This window comes from Homo sapiens, chromosome 5 (assembly GCF_000001405.40).
Source record: "Homo sapiens chromosome 5, GRCh38.p14 Primary Assembly".
In the NCBI taxonomy this organism is placed as follows: domain Eukaryota; kingdom Metazoa; phylum Chordata; class Mammalia; order Primates; family Hominidae; genus Homo; species Homo sapiens.
Genome location: NC_000005.10, coordinates 37,719,002 through 37,740,257, shown reverse-complemented (window position 1 = coordinate 37,740,257; position 21,256 = coordinate 37,719,002). Strand labels below are relative to the sequence as shown.

At 37.1% G+C, this 21,256-nt stretch overlaps 1 protein-coding gene across 5 annotated transcripts in view, besides 1 other annotated feature; it reads right to left on the bottom strand.

The window, feature by feature from the left end:
* Positions 1-21,256, bottom strand: part of WDR70 (WD repeat domain 70) — a 374,118-nt gene that overhangs the window by 13,178 nt on the left and 339,684 nt on the right. For all 5 annotated transcript variants that reach the window (NM_018034.4, NM_001345998.2, NM_001345999.2 and 2 more), the window contains 4 exons: positions 19,043-19,143; positions 17,324-17,403; positions 15,208-15,324; positions 13,213-13,375 (listed from right to left, as the gene is read on the bottom strand). In NM_018034.4, the coding sequence (NP_060504.1) occupies positions 13,213-13,375; positions 15,208-15,324; positions 17,324-17,403; positions 19,043-19,143 (461 nt within the window). The remainder of the gene's footprint in view (positions 1-13,212; positions 13,376-15,207; positions 15,325-17,323; positions 17,404-19,042; positions 19,144-21,256) is intronic.
* Positions 15,027-16,226: an enhancer, noted in NCBI's record as "CDK7 strongly-dependent group 2 enhancer chr5:37724134-37725333 (GRCh37/hg19 assembly coordinates)". NCBI's record gives its function as "activates an origin of replication core promoter dependent on BRD2, BRD4, P300/CBP, MED14 and CDK7 cofactors, with strong dependence on CDK7, by STARR-seq in HCT116 cells {active_cell/tissue: HCT116}" and the evidence as "EXISTENCE:reporter gene assay evidence [ECO:0000049][PMID:35650434]".

Sequence of the window (21,256 nt, the reverse complement as noted above, 5' to 3'; positions counted from 1 at the left end):
GACATTTTAAATGGATTTCTTTAGTCACCACTTTATCAAAACAATGAGGAACAGATGATTAGGCAACCTCTAGCAATGTTAGGACTAGAACCAGGAGATTTCTTCCCTGGGGGATGGTCTAATTTGCCCTTGGCACAGAAAACTACTATAAAAATAAATCAACAACATCAAGCAAAAGTAAAACGACAGATACAAAGAGATAAAATGTTAATGGATTTGAAAACACTTAAAAGCTGGTCCACAAATTCCCACTTTTAAAGCTAACAGGAAACAAATAAAAACAATAACAACCAACAAACCCTCTATTTTACATCGTCACTGGCCACAAAAATGGTTTCCTTTCTGGGCTGCTTGAAGAAATGGAATTTGTACACTGATGTTAAGAAATATTCTGTTGGAATGAGAACACATGGACACAGGGAGGGGAACATCACACACCAGGGCCAGTCGGGGTATGGGGGGCTGGGGGAGGGATAGCATTAGGAGAAATACCTATTGTAGATGACAGGTTGATGGGTACAGCAAACCACCATGGCACGTGTATACCTATGTAACAAACCTGTATGTTCTGCACATGTATCCCAGAACTTAAAGTATATATATATATGAAAAAGAAATATTCTGTTGGGTGCTTCCACAAGGAAGAGTAGAACCCAACAAATCAAATAGACACTAAAAACATGACAGCAACATAAGAAATACACAAACAAATTGCAAGAAATATACTCCACCACTTCCAGAAAGCAATTCTGTCACCTACCCATTCTGTGTCTTCTAGCTAACAATTCTTTCAGAATTTTATACCTCATTTCTCAAGAGACAAGAAATTATCAACTCAAGCTTACTGCCTCATGGCAGATTATCTCCCTTGCCCAAAACAAAAGCAAAAGCCTATAAAGGGATTGACTCGAAGGAAAAGTAGGTAAGGGGAACATTCCATTCAGCCAAATATATAATTACTGTGGGTGTACAACAGGTTAATGGGGATCTAGCAAGCCTCACTGGAGAATGAGTGAAGTATCTACCTTAACGAAGTCAGCTTTAACCAGACTATTCCATATACTGGTTTATGGCCCACACTTACCCATGTTTCTGACGACTAATTTAAAAACCTAAACTTACAGAGGGCTGATGTGAACCTTGCATTTTCCAGTTTGAGTAACTCATCTGGGGAAGAGTAAACATTTTCCACTTGATTATAAATGTCAACTTGTTTACTAGAGTTACCAAGAAAAGGAGAGCAGATTAGACATCAACGTGGTCATTGCTGCCAATCATTAAATAAGCAAACAAGGGAAGGCTAAAAGGTTTTTTGTTTTATTTTGCTTTAGCTTCGGTAACTCTGCATTTGCTAATAGTTAATATGATTTCATAAAGCAAACAGAAAAGCTTAAGCAAATGTCTTTCTCAAATCTATAAATTCTGGATAGCTGATACTTTGTGCTGATTAAATTTCCCCTTGATACTTTTTGGAAAACTGATTCTCAAGATTATTTTTACAAAGTGAGTCTTTTCCAGCAACTGTATGCTACAGAAAAATAACAGAAACTCAACAGAAAGCAAGTCCCACCTTCAGTGCTTCCATCCAGAGGAATTTTGTGTAGAGCAGCCAGTAATGAATAAAGAGTCCCTCTGCAATCTTCTAAAAGGGCATTTTTGGGGTGCATTGTTTGTGTGAGAGATTCAAAGTATTACAGGACTGTCCTTTCTCTTCTGATTAAGCTTTGACCTATGTCTTCTACACGGCCCTTCTCTAGCACTCAGGCCAGAGTGAAGTCGTCTTCACTGTAACAAAATGTTTTCAGCTGCAGTGGAAAGTCCACAGGTCAAATTCTTTTTAATTATGGATGTTCCTCTGATATGATTCCTTCAAAAAGCATAAAGTGAGCTCCAGGGTAACAGAGCAAGTATGAGGCGAAATCACTTGCATTACTTAGTCATCAGCACATGAGTATAAACCACAAGCTTTTTTGGCTCAGGGCCCATTGTTTATTATGAAGGAAAACCTCAAAGCCAAAGTCAATTATAGCCATGACTTTCAATCTGACACACTTGTTAACCCTGTTAGAATGAATATGGCCCAGATGAACTCTGACACAGTCATCACAATTGCAGAATTATTAAGATTAAATAAAAGCCTTGACCAAAAAATTCCACTTGAAATGATTCCTTTTTTTGGTGAAGAGCTAATCGAAGTTGTTGTTTTTTTGTTTGTTTTTTTTTTTTTTAAATATTAGGCACACTAGGCAACAAGATGTTTCTAGATAAAGCATTTTCTATTTTCTTCAGGAAATGAACATATAATATTTTAGAAAATAAACACATCTCAGGCTCATAAATAGGGTATACTGACTCATTATGCTATGTGTGAGAGTTCAAAGACTGTGAAGATGGAAAAAAGAACATACATGAGACCTACGGAAACTGTGAAAATAGGAAACAAAGAAAGAGACAGGAAAAGAGAAACAGAATTCTACAAAATTGCCATTAGCTACCTTATCACCAAATGGATAAACAAGTTACAAAGACAAAATCTTTGAAGAACACACAGGCTTGAGACAGCCCAGGTATCACCAAAGCACTCTCTTAATAAGTTCCCATTTATAAGATATATAACTGTGTGCCACAATTTCTATTAAAAAACATGCACGAAAGCTTGGCATTGGTGTAGCCCTGCCCAACTTCATGGATCAGGAAAACAGCCTCAGTGAAGGTAACTCGCCAGGGGGTGGCGGAGCTGAAGCTAAATCTCAGGACTTCTGATTCTTAGTCCAGTGTTCCCTCTGTTACACCATGCTGGCTCATACAATGATCTTTTAGCTTTACTATTACTCAAGTTTTCTAATAACTACTACCAGTTGCTTTATGATGAAAAGCAGTACACTGTACTTAGTTACAGTTATAGGCTTGATTCTGAAGCCAGAATGCTTGCATTCAAATCCCAGTTTTGCCACCTGCTACCTCTGTGGCTTTGGTCAAATTATAAGCCTCAATCTCCTTATCGGTAAAATGGGGACAATAATAACACTTGCCTCACAGGGCTGCTGTGAGGATTAAATTAATAATATATATAAAGTTTTAAAACAAGCCTGGCATAGTATAAGTAAAATAAAAGTATCATTATTATTATATACCTTGCTTTGGATATCAGGTGTTCCTCACTTCATATAATAGATGTATTTCCCAAAAGCAGTATGTAGAATATATTTGGTAAATTAATTTTTATGTTAAACACAATATAGCAGCTTGCTACTTTTTAAAGGAAATAATTTTATTAAGCAAATAATATTTCTTCACTATGAATTTCTATAATTGAAATAATCTAGTCAGTAAATTTGAATTTTCTTAAGGGAGAATAATTTGTTGCTTGTTTTCATAATTACTTTTGTACTATTAAAGAATAATTTGTTGCTTGTTTTCATAATTACTTTTGTACTATTACAGAATAATTTGTTGTTTTCCATAATTACTTTTTACTATTACCAAACATAAGTGTGCAAAACAATCACCCAGGGCACCTCTTAATATTCAGATTCCCACCCCTAATCCCACAAAGCCCCCTTGAGTTGGTTTAGGATGGAGTCCAGAAATCTGCATTTTTAAACAACCCCCCCACCGCAAAAAAAAAAGAAAAAAAAAAAAAACTACATACACCGCTCTGATGCAGGCAGTTCACAAAACCACTTTCAGAAACATTGGCTTCTACACAGGAATACAGTGGAGAGTGACAATTAGTCACCTAAATATAACTCTGGAAAAAATATATTTTCTCTCTGTGCATTTATGATTCTTCCTGACACAAATAACACATAAACCTTCACTTGCTCACAGAGTGGCTTCTTTAAATATTGCCTACAACTCAACATGACTTTAAATGGATCCTTTATAGGTGGGAATGATATTTTAACACATACATACACACATATTCATATATCCAATATCAGACAAGATATGCACACTGAAAATTAAGTTGACCGAACCAGCAAATAATGGCAGCCTATCTGGCAAGAAAAGTGACGTGGTTGACAGAGCTGTCATTCTGTCAGGCTGCTGGCCAGGGTCCAGGCTCCCACACACATCTATCCTTGTCTGATGTGTAAGCTAATAGCTTTCTGGATCTACATCCTGCCCATTCCCCAGCCAGCTCCTTTTCTCTCCCTCCAGCAGCATCTTCTTACAAGAAACTGAAACTGAATCTGCCTATGTGTAGCTGAACAAGAGTCCTCTGTGATCCTGCTGTGTTTGAAAATTTTCATGGCTGTTACATTGCTAGGGCCAGGAATGAAACTTAAATAATCTATAAATGTAAACTCTTTAAAGACTCTTTGTTATCATCACCAGTGGATATTGGTGAGTGTATGTCATGTGTAGGCAGGCACATTTGTGGAATGTCTAATTGTGCTTTTCTGTGATAAAGCGAGATATGGTAAATAAATCTTCATTTCATCACTGACAGAAGTCAATTGCAGTGAAGAAAAAAAACCAACCAGACACACATTCTCAATTACAGTGACCTTTACGAAAAGATCCTTTTAAATATTAGCTTCCTTTCAAATACTTTGCTACTTGGCAGTAAACAGTATACTCTAGCAGGTGAACACAGGAGAAATAGCACTGCAATCCTAGCTAACAAATTACATGCCACAGACAGACAGTGCCATGAACTTAGTATGCAACAAATGCAAGGTGACGAAATTGGGTGGAAGCAAAGAGATGATAGCAAAATGCAGCGGCAGAAAGGTGTGTATCAGGAAGAGAGTGCAGTCCTCTGCAAAGCTCATTAGGTTAGGGATCAAGAGAACTAATGTCTAGTTCTAGTTTCAGTCATTGTTAATTGCAGATCTCTAAGCTACAGCCTCCTCACATGTAAAGTGAGGATATGACAATGCCTGATCTACCTACCTTGCAAGAGCTGCTATTATGCTAGCACGAATTCATTTGTAAACATAACTGAATCATCTCTAATGCAGAAAAATATCTTTAGATATTTTGAAAGTGAACAAAAACACTTTCAGCTGCAATTAATTCTTATTTAAAGAAAGTTGAAAATCTGAATGAATGACTGTCCAAGAAAATATTAATTACCAAGCAGCCTCAGAAGAGTCAGAAAACTCAGAATAGACTATTTGCCAGGAGGGGATGGAAAAGAGAGAAAAATTAAGGAATTACTACTCACCCTCCACTCCACAAAAGCTTTCACATTTTACAGGTGAATTCTATCAAATCTTTATAAAATGGATAAGTTCAAATGTATTCAAAACAGTTTGAGGGTACATATAGAAAAGAAAAATACACAAAATTTTTAGGAAGCCAGTCTAACACCTTAGAAAGAATAAACTACAATCATATAACGGTCGTATCAAAGATGCCAGGATGGCTCGGTGTTAGGAAATCTAGTAATATAATTCATCCCATTCATAGATCGAAGTAGAAAAATTCCATGATCACTTTCATAGAGATGAAGGAATTCAGTAAAGGCCTCTTGTGTTCGCTGCATGGGATGCTCTTCCCCTAGGTATTTGCATGGCTCACTCCCTCATTTCACTCAGGTCAAAGGTAACTTTTGTAGACGTTCTTCCCTGACCACTGTATCTAAAATAGCGCCTTTTCTCCGCCTGATTACTCTATGTCCCCCTTTTATCCCTCTTTTATCTATGTCCCCCTTTTATCTTTTTATAAAAGGGATATATCCCTCTTTTAGTTTTCTTCTTAGCATTATTACCATTTAATATTTATATATTTATTTAGTGTCTGTCTCTACTAGCATATAAGCTCCATAAAATGGCTGTACCCCTACAACTTAGAACAGTATCTAACACATAGTTGGTGTTCAGTAAATCTCTTTTGCATGAATAAATAAAGAATTGGATTCTTAACATCTTGTGTGTTTTCAAACATTATCACATTTTATGTGGAAATACCATTAGATTGAATAATATAAAACTGCTGATATTTGATTTTTTCACCTACAAAAAGGAAAATTTTGTAAGGTTTAACGTAATAGAATCATTCCTTTTAAAGTTCAAATTGAAAAAAGGATGTGCACTATCACTGATGGTTATTTTAAATTGTTCTGGCAGCAGTCAGTGCAATCAGATAAAAAGAAATAGTAGGTATAAAAATTGGAAAGGAGGAGGTACACTTACTACTTGCATATAATTTTATACCTATACACCCCAAGCTAAGTGAATAAAAATTATTTAAAATATATATAAGAAAACACAATAAACAGCTGGATACAAAACTAATATATATAAATAACACACATATATGTAGCTGCACAGTATTTCCATACACAAATAAGTTATAAATTTAGTGTAAGAAAAGACTCTACTTACAACAGCACAAAAAGATAAAGTAAGTAAAAATAAACTTAAAAGGAAATATGACAGGTCTATGTGAAGAAAACTTAAAAGTACTACTGAGGGATATAGTGATGTTGACTAGAAAGACAACTCTGTTCTCGGTTTGAAAGAACTAATATTATAAATTCTATCTAAATTAATATATACATATAACTCAAGTCTGCATCATTAATTTTTGAGGGGGAGGTTACTAGATAACTTAATAAGTCATGGAGACCTGCAAGAATAGATAGACACATTCTCATAAGAATAATGAGAACAGGCAGCGCTACAACAATGAAGACTGGTATTGATACTTGCAGAGCCAGACCAATTGACAGAACAGAACAGAGAACCCAGAAATTGATTAAAATTCATGAGTACATTAGGTATAATAAAGGTATCATTTCAATTTAATGAGGAAAATTAAATTATACAATAAAAAGTTCTACAGCAACTGGTTAAACCAACTTGAAATAAGTAAATTAGAACTCTACTATGGTAGGTTGAAAAATGGTTCTCTCAAAAATATCCACTTTCGATCCTTGGAACCTGTGAATGTTCTCTCATTTGGAAAAAGGGTATCTTGAGATGAGGAGATACTCCTGGATTATCTTGGATTGGCTCTAAATGCTACTGTAAGTATCCTTACAAGAGAGTAAAGGAGAAGACAAAGGAGAAGGCAATGTGAAGACTAGGCAACATTAAAGGGATGTGGCTATGAACCAAGGCATCAGGCAACCTCTAGAAGCTAGAAGAGGCATAGAATGAATTTTCCCCTGGAGTCTCTGTAGAAAGTACAATCCTGCCAACACCTTGATTTCAGACTTCTGGCCTCCAGAACTGTGACAGAATCAATTTCTACTTTTTAAGACATCAAATTTGTAGTAATTAATATAACAATTTCACTAAAATAATTCCAGGTGAATTGAAGACTTAACTCTAAAAAAAAATCCATAAAAGTATTGAGTGGGAATATGAGGGAATTTCAAGACTAATATTGGACGGGAGATGCCTTCCTAAATAAAACCCCAAAAGTGCACCCCTCACCCCATTTCTAAATCTCACCACATTAAAATAAATTTTTTACGTGAGAAAAACGCCATAAACAAAGTAAAATAAAAAACGATTAACTGGGAGAAATATTTGCCATACATGATATACAAGGGGTTAACCTCCTTAATATAAATAACTCTTACAAATCAGTAAGAAAAAACCAAATAGGCAAATGGGCAAAAGACATAAATAGTTCACAAGAAACAGGGTTTTAAGGGCTTTAAGAAAGCTCCTTTTAGCATCTTTTCTCGAGAACAGATGCTAAAAAATTATAAAAATGCAGGTGAAAACCACAAATTATACATTTTCACCTATCAGATTGGCAAAGATAAAAATTTCTTGAAGTTTTGCATGTGTGGGCAAATACCTACATCCAAAGATACTAATTCCAGTATTGTTTATGAAAGAAAAAGGCTGAAAACAACATAACTGTCATTCAAGAGGGTATAGTTTTTTATAGAAGTACAATATAGCTATACAATTGAATAGGTACATAAAGTAAAAATAATGAGCTAAATATGTCTGGATGGATCTGGCCCAATCTTCCAATGTATACTAAGTAAAAAACAAAACCACAAATCAGCTTGTAAAACATGCTATATACCTGCATTTTTAAACAATGCATGTATCTACACATATCTCTCTCTCTCTCAGAGGACATATAATAAATTGAGGCAGTTGGTATCTCTAAGCAGTAGAATGAAGGAACTGGGGGTTAAGTGAAAGAGAGGCTTTCAAATCTCCATTGTCTACCTTTAGTACCACTGGATTTCTTTTGCTTGTTTTTACTGTGTGTATGTACTACTTTAAATCTCAGACATGAAAACCACATACTAAATTGAAGTTACTCCTTTATCAAAATAACTCGTTATTAGATGTCAGAACAATAACCTGGAAATTCTAAGGCCAGGCTCCTGGTCTGGAATCTAGAAATGACTTGTTATCCAGCAGGTTTTAAAAGTTATCTTCTGGATGTTTCATTTTCTCCAGTGATAAGTTAGGTCTCTGACACCTTCTAATTATACACTGCTAATACTGCTATATTATACGTTGCTAATATCAATGAATAATCAGCAAAGAGTATTTATATCAGTATTTTTGAAGACATCTCAGTGATTTGTGTGTAAACATAGACACAAATATTTGGAGCAGTTAGCCATTAAAATAACATGCACCATGTTTAACAAAATTTAAACTATGACTGTTTTCTTGACAAATCTTTAGTATGTTTCTAAACAAGGTTTCTGAAGTATAAAAAAAATCCCTAATAATAATGGAAAATACTCCATTAAAAACAGAAGTGTCAACACAGCCATAATCTATAAGTTTATCTGACTGCCAATGATGTGTTGACATGGATTAGTTTATACACATATAAATACTATTCAAATGAAGGCTAAAGCATGCTATTTCGCTGGCCAGCCTTGATATGACCTCTTAGTTGTTATCATATTATCCAATTCACTGTTCAGAGATGTTCCATCTGTATTGTTTATTAATATAAATTGTGAACAACCACATTGACATTACATAGTCTGTTCTGCTACAGTACAAACAGCAGAGGACACAGTGCTTCCCCTCGATTGCCTCAAATCCTTTTAGCATTACTGGGCAATGTGCTTTCACTCACAGCAGGAGCACCTACCTCTAAAATGCTGGAGAGCTGACAGTGCCTGAAGTGTCTTTCCCAACCCTACCTCCAACCATCACCAATGACCAACAAATAAGGGAGTATAAATACTCTAGTTGCCATGGCCCTGACCAGGACAACTCTGACCACAGTCTCCAGGGTTACCCTGCAGGATTAAGCCAAAGCGACCCTCCCTGGGACTTGGCTTGATACTGCACACTTGATGGCTTCATGACACATCTCTACTCCCCTACTGATTTTCTCTGGGAACATACCCTAATAATTCACCTTTATGTAAATCTTTATCTCAGGGCCTGCTTCTAAGGAATGCATGCTAAGATGATGTGTTTTTATTTGAGGCAAATAGCGCCGAATAATGAGTAGAGGACTGGTAGCAGTATAAAGATTGAGTTGGTTAATAAAAGGCTTTTTCCAGCATATTAATGTTTTAAAAAGTAATCAGCATCCAGTTTTCTCACAATTAAAGAGAAAACTTTAGGAATACATAAAGACATCAAGAAAAAAACTTGAATATACCTCCAGTAATACAAAAATACACGTCTGTAAGTCTATTCACTATAGCATTGTTAGTACTTACAAAATACTGAAACAACCTAAATATCCTTACATAGAAGAATGGTTGAATTAACTATGATAAATTCGTACAACGGAGTACTATGCAACTATGAAAATCAATGACAGTGAGCTCCAAGAACTGATGTAGAGTGATTTCTAGGGCAGAGTTCTATGTGAAAAAGAAGCAAAGCCAAAAAAAAAGCAAATCAATATGACTTAATTTATATCAAGTTATACACCAAAATATATACAAATCTTTAAATCAATCATACCTCAATAAAGATGGGGGATGAAAAGAAGCTAAAATCCTAAACTGATCAATTCAAATTTCAAAAATAGCATAACAAAAAAAGTTGCTGACATATTTATAAATAGTATTCCCAAAGTTCATTTAAAGTTAAATTTCATACTAAAATGTTAATGAAGAAACATTTAGATAACCAACTACTTTGTGGATAATCACAGATTAGCAATAATTTTGTGATAAAAGTTGGTTGTGGTTAGTATTTGTATATTAAAAACGGTGACATTTTACTCTATACATGTGTTCATATGTTGTAATTACACTTCACCAAAGATTTTCAAGTGGAACTTAGACCAAAAAAGAAAAAAAGATGATTTACATTATGCTACCCTTCACATAGGAAATACGGGGATGTAAGAAGATACTTACGTATCTGCTCAAGAAATACCCGAAAGATACACCAGGAACTAAAAAGATTATTTAGCTACAAGGGGTGGATAGGAAAGGGACTGAAAAAAAGGGGGACTGGGAATAGGAAAAGGGAGCAGGAATGAAGAGGAAGAGACAGTTCTCTAAGAAAATCTCTTTTAAAGCTCTGACTCCTAGAACCATAGTAATATTTCACACACTCCAAAAAATAAACAGAACGTGAAGAAAACCCAAAAAAGGGAAATAAACACTAAAAAATGAACCTAACTGCATTTCAAATGGCTAACACAGCCACAATCACTGGGGTGGTGAAGAAAGTATACTTTAAGGCTAAAGACAAGAAGAACTGTAAACAAACTATGCCATGCAGATAGGAAAAGTGATTCTTACAGGGATATGAGTTAGCAATTCTAAAACTAGTTAATGTATATGCCAGACCTGAACAAATAAGAGCTGGGTTTCTCATTAACGGAGAAAGAAGTTACAAATACAGAAAGGAGAAAAGTTAGGGAACCTGTGATACAGGACTGAAATCAGAAACATCAATTCAAACTCATGGTTTTACAAATATAACTACAGATTGATACATTCAGAAACACAGATGTGTGTAGATGGGTAGCTTAGTATGCATACATGTATTTCCTAGCTTTGTCAGCAGAAAGGACCTAGAAGCAATGGCACTGCAGTAGCAAGGAGCACATCCAGCACACAGCCTTTCGTTTCTAATCACCATTCTCCAACAAAAGGAGCCACGGCTCTTTGGAGAAGTGGTCGATTCCAGAATGGGGGTAAGAAAAACCAAGATGAGTCTGTAACATCTTGTGGTGCCAGAAAGTAAGGAAGTACTAAAAAAATATATAGGCGCTTGAGAAAGATGCCAGGAGCCATTCTGAAGCCATTCCAGCTTCTATTGGCCAAAGGTGGAACAATTTGAGCAACAAACTAAATGATAGTATTGGAATTTATCTCACAGAATAATGTAAGAGACCATACCAATATTTTAAAAATACTTGAAAAATAAAAAAATGTGGGAGAAGGAACAACTTTTCCTCTAGGTAGAATTCCAATTAATAAACACAGAAGAAAAGAGGGAAACAGAAAATCACCCTTAGGCAAACACCATAGTAATAACTGTTATAGGCAAATTCATTCACGGATGATAAAATTAGACAGCAAAATTGAGGAGAAACAGGATTTGCATAGTCTTAAAATATCACTCCCAAGAAGTTTATCAACTGAAAATAGAATGAAAGCATCTTTACAGTGGAGAAACTTGGCAGATATAACCTTAAGCAAGTGGCCAAAGTTAGCATCACCAGTAATAAGACATCCACTGAGAAGGACACAACATCTCTCTTGTGTTATTTGTGCCAAACATGCATGGTCTCATTCCAAATATAAGAAAATATCAAGCAAACCCCAACTGAGGGAAAGTGTACACAATAACTGACCAGTATTCATTAAAAGCATCAAAATCATGAAACATAGGAAAGGTAACTGTTATGATGGGAGGAGACTAAGTACAATGTGGGATCCTGGAACAGAGAAAGAACATGAGTGAAAAACTGGCAAAAACTAACTAAGGTCTATAGTTTTAGTTTGTTTTTTTTTTTTGTTTTTTTTTTTTTTTGGAGGCAAGGTCTTACTCTGTCACCTAGGTTAGAGTGCAGTGGTGTGATCCTGGCTCACTGCAACCTCCACCTCCCGGGTTCAAGCAATTCTCCTGCCTCAGCCTCCTTAGTAGCTGGGATTACAGGTGCATGCCACCACACCTGGCTAATTTTTGTGTTTTTAGTAGTGATGGGCTTTCACCATGTTGGCCAGGCTGGTCTTGAACTCCTGATCTCAAGTGACCTGCCTGCCTCGGCCACCCAAAGTGTCGGGATTATAAGCATGAGCTAATGCACCTGGGCTAGTTAATAGTATTATACTAATGTTAGTTTTATAGTTTTGATAATTAATTGTACTAAGATTATGTAAAGTGTTAAATTAGGAGGAAGTTGGGTGAGTAGTATATATGTACTCTCTGTACTATTTCTGCAACTTTCCTAAAAATCTAAAATTAAATTTAAAAAGTTTAAAAATTTAGAAACTGAAAATTCTGGCCAGGTGGAGTGGCTCATGCCTGTAATCCGAGCACTTTGGGAGTCTGAGGTGGGAGGACTGCTTGAGACCAGAAGTTCAAGACCAGCCTGGGCAACAGAGTGAGACACTGTCTCTACAAAAAATTAAAACATTAGTTGGGTGTGGCAGTGCATGCTTGTCGTGCTAGCTACCCAGGAGGCTGAGGAAGGAGAATCCTTTGAGCCCAGGAGTTTGAGGTTACGGTGAGCTATGATCATGCCACTGTACTCCAGCATGGGCAACAGATCAAGATCCTGACTCTAAATAAATAAATAAAAATAAAAACGGAAAATTCTATAATAGTACCTATCTTTAATGTAAATGTAGCTGGTTTGATAGCTTTAGGAACCACTCCCTATTCATCCATGCTAAGCTGTCTGAGGGAATACGAGCAGGCAGGATCTACTCTGCAGTGTTACTTACATATACAGCTCTATAAATAAAAGTGAGTTCATAATAACAGACCTACAAACTGCTTCATTTGCTTTTAACCCTCGTCAACTAAGATAATGCACATAAGCAGTGATTTGTTTGTTGTTTGTTTTAATCATGGGCAGGATGGGCTTCACATAATGGTTTACACTATGCTACAACTCTGATGGAATGGGCCTAGTTTTAAAATTCATGATTTTAGAGTCTTATGATACATACAAATGCCTAGGTTTAAAGACCATGAGTACCTGGCCTATTTTTCATATCTAAGTATGAAATAAGAAATAGAGAAGTTAGAACTCAAAAACAACATTGTTATGTTCTCCCCAATTCATTAAACATAACAATTTTCCTGTTTTAAAAAGCTATATTCTCACTTGGAATATGCTGGAGAAACCCAATATGGGCTGTCTTCTGCTGCTTTGGCATGACGCAAAATGGCTTCCCGAGGATTACTGTCATCGGTCTTGTCCAAAGCAATGTTCTTCACAATATAGGAAGAGAGAGTGCCCCCGTGGGTTCCAACTCGGCCACCACGACCTATTGCAAAAGAAAAAAAACCAAATTAGAAACTGAATGAGCATGAGGATACATAGGTATATCTGTGTACACTGTACTTATCTGAGCACAAATCTCAAGAGTACTTAAATTTCATCCTTTCAGCTTAGATTTATGACAATCAGAACCAAAGAGATCACCAAACCTCAACTTCCCGATAGCACTTTTAAATAGGAAGAGATTTTTTTGTTATGTCTCAGTTGCTTAACTTACAGAATGATACCAATATAGAAAAAATTACAGATAGTTTGCCATCTATATGCTTTAAAAAGTTCCTCTGGCATCAACATTTAGAATTCAATTAATAAAAATAAACAATATTCATTAGATGCTATTTAAATAAACATATCTTAGGGCTTGGCATCTTCCAAGTCCCTTACAGGTACTTTGCTGAGTATTATAAGAGAAAACAAATAAGCTAAACATACTGATTCATGTTGCTCTGCTGTACTATAATCTCCCTATGAAATAGGAACCTCTTTAAGGGCAGGGATTTGTTCCCCACTAGATCTCTAGCAGCTAGTATAGTGACTGGTACTCAGAAAGATGTAGGACTTCTTAGGAAGATAAAATAAACATATGAAAAGCCAAATAACACTAAAAGATTAATTTCATAAATCAAGATAAGAAGAAACTAAATAAGGCAGGAAATAATTAACTGTGAGATAATTTGTATGGCCAGTAACTATTATGGCACTTAGAGGAAGATAGCACTTCAGGCTCAGGTGGTTGAACAGGTCTTTATGAAAGAGATGGATCCAATTTGTGAAAGCTTAGGAGGTAAAGAAGGTTATTTTCAATAAGCAGAATGGGTTAAGTACAAAAATGCAGAAAGAAGAAAGTTCAATGGGTATTTGGGGACAGGATTGAACCAACAGTAATCTCAAAAGATCAGAGCAGGAAAGAAGTAAGGTGTAAAGCTACAGGGGTAGATTTGATTTGGACTGTACAGAACCTTGAATCTCTGGAAAGACAATTGGACAGTGGGAAGCTTATGAAGGTTTGGAGGCTGTAGCAACATGAAAAGCTAATGGAGTTAGGGATTAAAGCTGTGTATAAGACAAATAGAAGTGAGGTGGGAGAAAGGGAGTGACTTGAGACTAAGGTGCATAGTTAGAAGGGTTCACAATAATCCAAGAAAAAATCTTTTTTGGAAACTTTAGTTAGGACGGTGTTAGAAAAAAATGAAAAAAATAATTAAGATAGATATGCAAAATGTTTTCTATGCTGAAGGAGCAGACCAAATAGAAACTACACAGATGATAACAGAAAATGAAATTCTAGTCAAGGTACGTGCTATACTATTAGCCAGTGCTGCTTGGCTTTCTTCTGGTACCTACTTCTCAAAAACTCTAAAGACTTTTATTCATCTTCTAGTGATATCAACACAAATCTAAATGATGGCCACATTCTGCCTTGTGTGAAACCTAATCCAGCCTGGATTCTGGTCAAAGTGCCCAGTGTTGTACATTAAGCCAATATTGAGAGCAGTGGTTTTAACACTGGGTTCCAAGGTCCACTGAGCCCCCGAGTTCCCCTGAGGCCAGCTAGGAAAACTCTAGTTGGAGACCAAGCAGAAAGGGCCCCAGTCTTCCTCCCTATTTCAGTATAGAAGCTCAATTTTTATCAGCTTTATACATCTGGATTCTGCATCAGCTTTTCTGTTACTAAAAAGAAAACATTTTTAAAACACTAGTAAAATCTCTCTGAAGACAAAGAAGCATCCAGGCCCAAAAGACCTTCCCAATTTTATATCAATTACCCCACCCTGCCTCTGAACCCCCTCTGCAGGTCACTAGCTGGATCACAGTCACCTGGGCCTGCTACAGGAGGTTCAGGTTTATGCGACTTCAGGGGATCCAGTCTGTCCTTCTCCAGCTGTTTCCTTGTACTCCGTTGGCGGGGCTCACGGAACATAGGCAAGGCATGAGCTACAAGAAGTCACATTTGAAAAATTTCATTATAACAATAACCTTCCCATCCAAAAACATAGTTAAAGCATGACTAACTGAAAGATGAAATGGAAGTCATAATGACAGTCTTGATCTGATAATAAAAGACAGTCTTACTGTAACCAATTAGCCAATTTTGCTTGAGACCAGACTCACTGGTCACCTCTCCTGGCAGCTAACAGCACTCAGGAAATACTGTCAAATATTGTCATGGAAACATCGGTGAGGCTCCCCATCTCCCAAACCATGGGTAGCAGTTAAAACTTAATTACCGTGGTTTTGAAAAGAAACACATATTGGGACTGCCTCTTATTTTTTCTTACAGGACCCAAATGTGAATAATGCCAACAGCTTGCTGTCAGCCCTGAAGTTTCCTCAGATGTCTCATAAACACTGGAATCACTTCACACGTTTCTGAAATGTGACCACCTCTCAGGAGGAGTTGACAACACTGAGTAACCGGAAGGGAGGAACACTTATCCCACTGAAACTGGGATAAAGGTTGCCATGAATGCAAGAGGTGCCTAAATCTCTTGGCATGGGGACTTAATGGGGCCTTATCCCTCCTGCTATATGGTAGCAAAATAAGAAAATAAAAACCAAAGTAATATGCGTTCAATTGCTGTTACTGTTTACTCAATGTCAAAATTAAATTTCAGAATATAAAAGATTATAAGAATTTAAAAAGGAAAACAGTATAATATTCTAGGGGAAAAGGAAAGAGTTATTAGGGGAAGTATTAAATAACTCCCTTTTTTTGCCCCAGAAAAGTACTAGCAGTTTCTTTTGACTCTTACGTGCAGATTAAACCCCCTTTAAAAGAAACTTTTCCCGGGGGACCAGGGGAAGGAAGGGAAAGGTTAAAGGGAATTTATAATATCAATAAAATGTCTATAACACCTCAAAACCTCTTCCAGTATCCCCTCCTACCTTCTACCTATACTGCCAACTGAGGCCAGACCATATCACTCACCAGTAAAACATGCCTGCCTTGAGTCAGGGGAGCTGAGAAACATAGCCACCCGTCACTCAGTTGGGCAACACAACACAACAGTATTTTTAGGAGGGGGAAAATAGCTTTTCACTTCAAACGACTGGAGGAATTTAAGTAGGCCGCATGTAATTACATGAGCTAGACTAGTTATGACACTGACTTTAACACTTCTACTCTTGCAAAAAGTGTCATGGGATCTCTTTACTGGTCATAAGCTCCAAGGGACTTGGTCTCATATGAGACCCACCACCAGTGAGAAAACCCAGCAGTACAGCGCCCCCTGGGCTCCAGACTGAGTCACTGATAAAGTCCACAGGGCCATCCACTAATGATAATCGCTGTAGCATCCATTATTTCTTTCCTAGCTGTCACCTGTTGCAGGTTTGAGATTGTGGCTCTGGGAACACACATCTGCCAGATTAATGAGGTTGTGTGACATACGTGAGAGAAACCACTCTGCCCTAGTAAGCTTTCTACTCATACCCCAGGTAGTTAATTTTATATACAAATTCCTGTGGATCAGTCTAGCACATGGTCATAGAATTTCAGAGAAAGCTGGAAGAGACCCTTCCTCTGGTCGCCACACTTCCCTGATTAAAAGTTAAGTTGTTCAACATCACATTGCCACTCAGTGGTGGAACTGGACAAACCCAGGCCTCCTGATTCCAAGACCAGCACTCTTTCTTGTTCACACTTGGAATAGACTGTTACTCTTGAAAAAACTGCTATAAAGTAATGTATTGGACTCGAACAGGCTTTTCCCTTTTGGGTTGAAAGCTGCATGAAATAACCCTGTCCCTGTGATGAGTCACAGAAGCCACAGAGGTTAGCTGTTACATGACTCGTAGTCCTATCCACATGAATGGGCAATTTTGTAATATATGCCTGAATTCTGAGGGCTTTCTCTGTCTCTAAAGCTATGCAATCAAAACCACATGAGAGTAGAAGAGAGATGCATGATTGAGAGGCATGTTAACGACTTACGGGTGATGATGTAGTCCTGAGTTAGAGTCTCAGCTTGTTTTGCCTTCCGCTGGGTTTTAACCACACATAATTTTGCTCCCCTAACGGGTGTAAAAGCAAATTATTTTCTTTACTTGGTCTTAGAAACAGAAAATTTCATGTTGAAAACATGAGATACTTTCAGGAACATACTCTGTGCATGCACTCCATCTACACAAGTACTTGACTTTCTGAGGGATGGCAACAGATGGGCTCTCAGTGATAAAAGCTTAAACTTATGGAAAAGCAAGTCTGTCAGTCAGTGGTTATTAACAAGCAAGAGGGTTGGAGAGGTAACAGGGCAACAGGACACAAGTTTACAAAACCTATAGGAATAATGTGAAATTTTAAGATCTTAAATAATAAAATTACCCAACCTTTTCACTCTAAAGGTCACAGGGTTAAAATTTTAGTTTATGTCTCAGACTAAAGCAACCTGGGTGGTCTACACCCCAAATGGCATATGTCCACTTTTCAAATACAAGAGTACAAGTGTCTGGAACTGAGTTGGCTTGGCAGTGTTGCCGAGGGGCTATGGCCCAAGAATGTGTGGGATTAACCAAAAATGTGCTTAGAACATTGCACTTCTCCTTAGTAGTACAGAGTTATCCTTTTCAAGAGAAGCAAATACAAATAAGTAAATTTCTTAAAGCAAAGCTTCCACAGAAAGTGCCTTCTAAATGGGTGCTATCAAATGAGGCTCATCATTTTCTCAAGTGAAACAGACTCCCATCCTAAGTACATTAGCATTTTTAATTTCTTTTTTAAAAAACAAATAAAATCCTATTTGTTTTCAAATACCATAAATATACTTTATTGTATAAGGCCAGGATTCCAACTCTAGTCCAGGAAGCTCTGAAGGAAGATGGGGCTGTCTGCTTCTATTCAGAGCAAAATTATGGCCAATGAATATTCATTAATAGAGGCTGGCTTTCCTTTCCTCAAAGGATGTGGGACCTTAAAACAGGTTTATATGGGACCCCAGTAAATTTCACATGTGAATTTTAATGCTAGTTAACCAAGTCTTACTCTAAAGAAAGCTTATCAGTCACTGTACTTTAAGAGAGAGAAACAAAACCATCTTTTCTGGGTGATGACACATATCCATCTTTGTGCCTAAGCAAAACGGAAATAACTGAGGAAATGACTGAACCTCTAGTTACGTTTTCAGACTTTTGAAATACAGTGGTATGCTTAAGTTTGAAACTTGGGTGGGCATGGGGGTGGAGGGGAAACGTATCTGTGCTGTCCCTTTCTGCGGACAGAGAATAATCTTGCCAAACATCCAAACTGCTAGAAGCCAAAAAAGAAAGAAGCAAAATGGACAAGCTGATTCCATTTCCTGTAAGTGGTTAGTTCCCTGCTTTGTTAAATCTCTTACATGTATCACTGCTAATGCCTCTGTCCAGGGTGGTATGCAAAGTGGGCAGAACGTTTTTCCCCCTTGCACTCAACATTTCAGCTAAACAACTGCAAATTCCCAGGAAACTTTCGCTTTGAATTCAGTGTGGATCAAGGGCAATATTCAAATCCTTTTTAAAGCACAATACCAGGAGTTTGAGGCTTTACTTTGTTCCAGCTGCATTTTCTAAATGGGTGGATCTCCATCAAAGTGGGAAATAAATAAAAGCGGGGGTGGGAGGGAAATCCCTCCCCCCAGTTGTTGTCATCCATCTAAAACAGGCAATACTTATGAAATACCTCTGACTCTTGTTGGGGTCGTAATAGACTTTAGCCAATCCATTTCCAGTTCCAACCATGATCTGGTTCAGCTTTGGATGCCACAGGCAGCGAACAACACTCTGCAAAGGAAAAGCGCAGTGGTTGACTAAAGAGGCCAGATAAAAATGGAAACAATCCTGCTGGTACTTTGATGGCTAGTCTACTATATCAAATATCATCCTGATGGTTTACCTCTAACTTTCAGACATTTTCTTTTAAACCATAAAGTTGTGTTCCTGAAGTAAAATTCCATTCCATCACTTATTATCTGGGTGATACTCCATAAAAATAAAAAAGATGTTCTCTTCCTGACATTATCTCCCTTTCTGGACAGCCCTGAAACCACAAAATTAGGTTTCCCAGGTCCATTACCACGTGAGGCTGGCATCATGGAATGCTAAATCCACATAACTCAGTTACACTTACCACTGAAGCGAATTTCATGCTCTTACACACATACAATATGTCCCTCTGGACAGCAGATTGAGACCAGGTGGTTATTGTTTTTAGTTCACAAAGATCCAAATCTCATAAAGCTTTTTCAGAAACAATGCACATTTGTAGGCATTTAATAATGTCTCCCTATCTATGAGATAAAACAGCAGGACAACAGCAGAAGTAAAACAGAGATACAGAATACAAAGACTTGACATTAACCTAAATGAAAAGCTGTTTAAGAGAAGGTTCACTGGAAGTTATGATCCTATGAATTCATTACTGGTAAGGAAAATAAGTGGTGCTCTGGGGCTGAAAAGAACCACAAGTTCTCAGTGAGAACTATAACCTGTTTTTAATTTTTGTCTGTGGTAAGAGGGCAGAGGTGGGAGGGATAGCGTGGACAGAATTAAAGGGAAAAAAGATGAAGCTAATGTTAGTAAACAGAAACCCCATGTACTAGGTTCTATAGAACTCACTCTGATAGAACAAGATATGAGTGGAAGCATTAATTCAATGTTTATTAATAATCTATCACTTGTCAAACTATATATAGGGACTAAAGGGGAAAAGGGTATGATTAGATATTAGCATTTTATAGTTCTAGTGGTAAAATGAAAATCATGACTACGTCTCCTAAATCTACTTTGGGCTGAATTTCTTTGGTTCCTTGTCTCTACTCATTCCACTCTTTTGTTAAGACAGAATATCTTGAAATCTCTCAGATCCTTTTTGATAGAACATTGATTCCCAGCTGGGCATGGTGGCACGCGCCTGTAGTCCGAGCTACTCAGGAGGCTGAGGCAGGAAGATTGCTTGAGCCTAGGAGTTTGAGGCTTCAGTGAGCTATGATTGTGCCACTGCATTCCAGCCTGGGTGACAGAGTGAGACTCTGTCTCTTAAAAAAAAAAAAAAGAAAGAAAGAAAGAAAGAAAAAAACAAAGAAATAAAAATTCTGACTCCCATGTGAATGGCAAAAAAATAGGCCAAAAAAAAATAGGTAAATGGCTGCAAACCCTTACCTGAGATTCCAGAGGAACTAAGGAGAAAGCTGAAAAGAGTCTACAAGACTTTTATTTAATTCATATCTGATTTAACAGACTTACTCTAGAAGAGTGGTTCTTAACCTATGTACCACTGAAGAGGAATGGGATATTGTACAGAGAAAATCAAATCAGAATGGCTGTGTTTTCCCCATCAGCTGGGGGGAAAATTAAGTTAAAGGGGCAGGTTTTCACAACTTTAGGCTTGCTTTCCACAATTTTTCTCAAATCTATGGTGCCTGCTACCCAGGCTAGCAAGTTCTAAAAGATGATAAAACAAATATAATAGTGAGTAAATATTAACAGAAAAACTTGAAAAAATAAGATATATTTAATTTGATAGTTTGGGTATTTTTTGGGGGGGGGGTTGTTGTTGCTTTGTACCTATGCTTGTAAAACCTAGTTTATAATGCATACATATAAAAGTCACATTTTCTCCTAATAAAATTGCTCCTGGTTGGGAAGATGTAATTAAGTATATCAATAGCTCATGGTCTACAAAGTGCAGCTTCTAGGTGCTCCACCACTGAGACTAATTTGAGATAGACCACTGGAAATTCCCAGATGGCCACAGCCAGGTATATGGAAACATAAGGAGAGTCACAAACATAACTTCATGAAGTCATGTTTATGAAACCCTATGTAGAAGAAATCCATCTGAGCCAAGACTCATCTCTTTTAGTCTTTGCTTAAATGTCATTGCTATCTAAACCAC